At 35.7% G+C, this 6,992-nt stretch overlaps 1 annotated feature.

Moving 5' to 3' along the window:
* Positions 3,824-4,372: an enhancer, noted in NCBI's record as "OCT4-NANOG hESC enhancer chr2:174505321-174505869 (GRCh37/hg19 assembly coordinates)". NCBI's record gives its function as "activates a minimal SCP1, AML or CMV promoter by ChIP-STARR-seq in naive H9 embryonic stem cells {active_cell/tissue: H9 hESC(naive)}" and the evidence as "EXISTENCE:reporter gene assay evidence [ECO:0000049][PMID:30033119]".

Below are 6,992 nucleotides of genomic sequence, written 5' to 3' on the forward strand. Positions count from 1 at the left end.
ATGGATAAAGAAAATGTAGTATATATATACAATGAAATACTATTCTGTCATAAAAAAGAATGAATTCCTGCCATTGACAGCAACATGGATGAAACTGGAGGACATTATGTTAAGTGAAATAAGTCAGGAACAGAAAGTTAAACACTGCATGTTCTCACTCATATGTGGAACTTTTTTAAAAAAGTTAATCTCATGTAAGTAAAAAGTAGAACAGAAGATAGTAGAGGCTTGGAAGAGTAGGAGAAAGGAAGAGATTGGGAGAGATTTGTTAAAGGATATAAAAGTACAGCTAGATAGGAGGGATACATTCTAGGGTTCTGTATCACTGGAGGATGACTATAGTTAACAATAATATATAGATTCAAATAGATAGGAGGAGGATATTGAATGTTCCCAATACAAAGAAAGGATAAATGTTGAGATAATGGATATGATTACCCTGATCTGATAACTCTACATTATATATATATATATATCAAAATGTCACTATGTATCCCATGAATATGTACAATTATTATTTGTCCATTTAAAAGATTTTTTAAAGTGAGCTTCTGCAACTTGATAAAGCACATCTATATGGAACCTACAACTAACAGTAAAAGACTGAATGCTTTCCTCCTGATATCAGAAACAAGACAAGGATATCCACCCTCAATGTTGGTATTTAACAGTGCACTGGAGATTCTAGGCAGGGGAGTAAGCCAAGAAAAAGAAACAAAAGATATCCAAATTAGAAGGATAGAAGTGAAGTTGTCTTTGCAGACAATGTGACTCTCTATATGGACTACAAATAAATCTCCAAGAAAGCTGCTAGAAGTAATAATAATGGTTGCAGGATACAAGATCGATATACAAAAATCAGTACTTCTATATACCAACAAAGAACAATTGAAAATTGAAAATTTTAAGCATACCATTTAGAATAATGTAAAAGTAAATCTGACAAAAAATTCGAAAGACCTGTGCACTAAAAACTGCAAAATACTGCTGATAGAAATTAAAGAAGACCTAAATAAATGGAGATAAAGACCACATTCGTGGGTCAGGAGACTCAATATTATTAAGATGTTGATTCCTTTCAAATTTATACAAAGAATCAAAATTACCCCAGTCAAAATCCCAGCAGCGTTTTTAATAGAAGTTGACAAGCTGATTTATCAAATGTATGTGTAATGGAAACACAAAAAACCTGAATAACCAAAATAACTCCGAAAAAGAGCTAAGTTGGAGTATTGCCTAATTTCAAAATGTGTTATAAAGATAGTGTGGTATTCGTGTAAAGATAGACAAGTAGATCAATATAACAGAATAGATTCCAATAACAGACTCACATATAAGGACAACTGACTTTCGACAAAAATGTAGAGAAGGGATAATATTTTCAACAAATGATGCTGGACCAATTGAGTATCCATAATGAAGAAGAAGAAGGAGGAGGAGGCAGGAGGAGAACATTGATGCATACCTCGCACCATATAAAAATTGATTCAAACCAGATCATAAACCTAATAGAATATTCAACTATAAAATTTCTAGAAGAAAGCATAGGAGAAAACCTTTATGATCTTCGGTTAGGCAAAGATTTCTTACATATGACACTAAAAGTATTAAAAATAATAACTGTATCAGAATGAAAACCTTCTGCTCTACAAAAGACACTGTCAAGCTACAGACTTGGAGACATATTTGCAAATCATATATTTGATAAAGCATTTGCATCCAGAATATAACAAGAACTCTCAAAACTCAATAACAAAAAATACCCAATTTTTAGAAGAGGATATATGTTGGCACATACGTCCATGGAAAAGATGCTCAGTGTCATTAGTCTTTGGGAAATGCACATTAAAACTACAATGAGGTATCATTATGCATCTATTATAATATCCAAAAACGTAAAAACTAACCACATCAAGAGTTGGCAAAAACATAGAGGAATTGAAATTCTCATGTACTGCTGGTGGAAATGAAAAGTGGTACAAGCACTTGGAAACAATTTGGCAGTTTCATAAAAAGTTAAACATACTACTGTGTTATTCAGTCATTCCACTCCTAGGTTTCTAACCAAGAGAAATAAAGCTTATATCCATACAAAGAATTTTATACAAATGTCCATAGAAGCTTGATTTATAATAGCCAAAAGAGGAAACAAACCAAATCTCCTTAATGGGTAGAAGGATAAACAAACTGGAATATCCACAAAATGGAATTCTATTCAGCAGTGAAAAGGGGTAAACAATTAATCACCATGCTACAACATGGATGAATCTCAAGATAATTTATGCTGAGTGAAAGAGCCAGATAAAAAACAGTACATAATGTATGACACCATGTATATAAAATTCTAGAAAATTTAACCTATAGTGACAAAAAGCAGATCTATAGTTGCCTAATGATGGACAATAAGGGGGAGGGCAGGAAATCAGAGGCAGGATGGAGGGATTGCAAGTGACAATTGCATTCCCATCACTTTGAGGGGGCTGGGTATGTCCACTGTCTTAACTGTGGTCATCGTTTCACAGGTATGTACATACGTGAAAACATTAAATTGTACACTGCAATTTATTATATGTGCAATTAATTTAACTTAATTCTATTACATATAATGTATTACATTTGCAATTTATTATATGTCAACTATTCACCAATGTAGACATTTTAGTAAAAATATGTGTACATATTTATATGGTTGGGAGAGGGCATAAGCACCAAAAGATTGAAACAGCTTGTTTTTCTCCTCCCCTTTTTTCCTCCTTTCTTCCTCCTCATCCTTCTCTTCTTTTGCTTATTTACAATTTCTGATTTTCCAAAAATGACATGTATTACATGGGTAACAAATGAAAAAGAGGAGAACAACGTGAAACAAAGGAACCAGAGAGATAAAGAGGAAAGCTAGTGATTTTGTTAACAATGGGAGCAGGAGACACAGTTTGGAGGAATTAGAAAGAACATCTCTTATTCCAGAACAAAGATTTTTACAGAAGTTCATCAGGAACAAAGAATTTAAGGACAAAATTGATGGACTTTCATGCAAACCAAGTTGTCAGAAATATCCAAGGCAGGTTCACCGATTATTACAGTTTCAGAAATATGCACATAAATAAGTAATTATGGTTGGTTGTTTTCCAAGCAGCAACTTCAATGAAATATGCAGAAGCAAAAAACTGGCCCAGTTGGTGGCTGAGGGTTTGGAAAGAACAAAATCACTTTCTACATAATGATAAATTTCCAGCTAAGAGAGGATAGATGGTCTAGGTCAGATTTATTGCCAGTGGCAGTTCTAATATACAGTTTTCTGTTTTTAAAAGAATTAGCTGCTACATTATTACAGCTGACATACTTAGTGACCTAGCTAATTTTCAGGAATCAAGAGTTGTGCAAATGATAGTTGTGTATTAGAGCTGATGGCTGGTGAAACCATGACGCGGAGGTTCTAGAAGATCAAACGTTAAACTATGTCCCAAAGATACTGTAGCACTCCAAGGCAGGGTACTTCAACTGTCTGCTGTTTCATCCAGTACACAATCGAAGACACTTATGACGGGTTGGAGAAGTGAGGAGTCAGCATAGCTCAGTGGTCATGTCCCCAGTCTCAGGAGACTGATCAAACAAGTTGAGATCCCAGCTCCACCACTTACTAGATGTCCTTGGCTACTTCATTTTTCTCATTAGCCTAATACGAATTCCAGTAGTTAGTTGTGGGTTGTTATGAGGATGAAATAATACATGAGAAGCACTTATGTTAAAAATGTCACACTTTATAATAATGTCCTTGATGAAACTTAGAAAGTTTTGGTTTGTTCATAAATGAAAATGAAAATAATAAATTAAAAAATAGAATGTTAGAGTATAAAGAGACCATGGTCCAATTCTCCAAACTGAGGCCTAGGGAATTCAAACTGAAACAGCTAGCGATAGCCCTCCATGTTTAAAGTTTGTCCCATATGTCATGCAGAACAACAGTTGCTTGATATTCCTCATCTGGATTCATGGTCAGTTCTTCATCAGCTCATAAGCTTCTACTGAGCAATGATGAGGATGTTTTAAGTAAGTGCAAAATGGTCAGCAAAGCTGAGCTCACCAGGGTGCTCAGTAAGTATTACCTGGTGATGGTAATTACACGACAATGAAGAGACAAAGCAAGAGACTAGCTCCAGAAGCTCCCTAGTGTGAAAATGAATCCCATTCTCTTTCGCTCTTCCCTCTCTCTCTCTCTCTCTCACACACACACACACACACACAGTCCCATCTTCTTTGTCTTTTTTGCCTGGTTCGATACGCATTTATGCAGTGAAACCAACTCATTCTAAAACCAGCATATTGAGAAATATGACTTAAACTTAGCTCCCACGTGAGGTTGTTCAACTGTTCATCTGTAATACCATCAAATAAGCGAAAGGGTGTTAAGTGTGGTATGGAGGAGGTGTCAGATTCTATCCTTTTCTTCCGGAACATCAGAAGGGAATATTAGAAAACTAAATATTTATATGGATGAAATGCCTGGCAAGGACTATGACTTGGCATGCCTTCTATATTTCCTTTAGTGAGTTCCAAAAAGCCTTTACCTGTTTTCCAAAAGGCTTAATCACAGTATTCCTACTCTTCAGCAAATATGCCACTCTTTTTGGATTTTAGTACATTCAGCCATCAAATGATGATGTGACAGTGAGACCTTGTTCAACCTAGAGAATATCTGCATTCAGCTCTGTCTGTGCTAGGGAACTTATGCCAGGACACATTATTTCAGATTTACAGACTGTTTCTATCTATTCTAAAATACTTGTGCTGCTCATTGTATATAAGACAGAAGAGAAATCAAGTCCTTAACTACCCCCAACCCTCTTTCATGGCAACTTCCTTCAAACTCCTACTCAGCTTGGATCTGCAATTCAGTAGATTCAATCCCAGCGTGCAATAGAATATAGGGATGAGCGGAGCCAAGTGGAGTGAAAAAGGGGGAATAGAGATTCTTCCAGCTTCTCCTGAGTAATTTCTCTACATGTGGTTTCATTATTGTTTTTAAAACAAATCCCACTTAATTGAAAACCATGCACCAAAATGTGTTCCAAATGTAAATAAACATACATTATTTTCAGACTTTCAGCTATTTAGGGCCATTCACCCACCTGCTCCTCTCTCCACTACTTAGAAATTATCAAAACTTGACTCTGTCATTCTACAAAATGCTTCTTTGTCCCAAATTTTGCATCTTGTCTCTGCTGTATTTTCACAGGATAATGGAAAATAGTGACAGGGCACCAAAAAGGGTCTGGCTGTAAATGTGAAACTAATTGAATCTTCCCAAGGCAGTTGCCAACAGCATCCTGACCCTTGCTGGGAGTGTTCCATATTGCGATGAAAAGGCAAATTGTAGTTCAAATATGTCTTCACTGTAAGTGCATTGGGTCATTTACCTTAACAATGTGAACGTGCGCTCATTATCATGTTCAACTTGATTAGTGTATGGTCTAACATTTAAAAATGCACTTCAGATAAAAGAATGTATAAATGCATGATTGGTTCCTAATAAATTGAGCAACCCCTTAATGAACTGTGAGCGATCTAGAGAGGAACTATTACATACCAGTCATAGAAATGGCAAACCAGACAAAAATAGATGGTGTATGTGTGTGTGTATGTGCGTGTGTGTGTGTGTGTGTGTGTGTGTGTGTGTGGTGTGTGTTTGGGGAGAGATCTTTCTCCATCTTCCATGATACACTGATTGCTGCCTTTATTGAAAAAAACAACGAAGAGAATTCAAGGCAACCAGGGAAATTAGTTCATTTAGGACCCAAACATAAATGAGAGCCATCTTTTGGCAAATATTCAGTATAGCTTTCCTGACATACCCAAATAGAAAAGCTTAGAGGGGCATGTTGTGAAAACTCTTAAATGAGCTTTCTTGCTGTTTTTTTTTCAAGAAAATATAAGATAGAGTTGGTGTAGGATATAAGATCTTCTTAGTCATTTAAGACAAATTCTTAGTCATTTTAGACAAATTCTGCTCTACTCTGTCTATTCTCATTTGTCTCTTTCCCCCCATGCTTTTCTTAAATTTCTGTGTGAAAGATACCTTATATTTACTTCTGATCAGAATCTAAAAATGTTCAGATGAATGAGGCGGCATGCCTCTCTACTTTATTTCTTATTCATGTTAGGTGAATTTTAAATGTGAGCTAGGAGAGCTTAGATATTTATTTGGCATCAGGCTCCATATGCATATTTCCATAAAAAACTTGAGAAAAAAATATACATGTTAAGGATCCATAACACTTCTGAAAATCTGAAATCCAAAATGCTCCAAAATCTGCAACTTTTTGACCATCAACTTGACACCACAAGGGGACAATTCTGCACCTGACTTCATGTGACAGGTCTTAGTCAAAACTGTGTGTTGTGACACACAGTTTATGTGTGTGAAAGGAAAAAGACCTTCCAAGTCCTCTTTGGCGGTGATATCTTTTCCATTCATACCTAGATTCTCCCATGCAAACACACCCACAAAGTGTAATGAAATGACATGTGAGCAGTCTGGATGTGCCAACAGCAGGTTCCCCATGATGCCCCACGTGGGATCGAGACAGTAACATCTTTGCTTTCTGATGGTTCAAGGTACACAAACTTTATTTCATGCACAAAATTATTTAAAATATTGTATAAAATTACCTTCAGGCTAAGTGTATAAGGCATATATCAAAATACATGTAGTCACTATATTTTTTGCTTATTCTCTGCTCTGTGATGCAAAGATATTATTAAAAATGTCAAAAAGACCTGAAGATTCCTTTGTGGGTAACAGTGACAAGAAAAAGAGGAAATGTTTATGTTTATTTATAGCACAGAAAGTCAAGCTGTTGGAGAAACTAGACAGCAGTGTAAGTGTGAAGCATCTTATGGAAGAGTATGGTGTTGGAATGACCACAATATATGACCTGAGAAAACAGAAGGATAAACTGTTAAAGTTCTGTGCTGAAAGTGATGAACAGAAGTTA

This window comes from Homo sapiens, chromosome 2, assembly GCF_000001405.40.
Source record: "Homo sapiens chromosome 2, GRCh38.p14 Primary Assembly".
Classification (NCBI taxonomy): domain Eukaryota; kingdom Metazoa; phylum Chordata; class Mammalia; order Primates; family Hominidae; genus Homo; species Homo sapiens.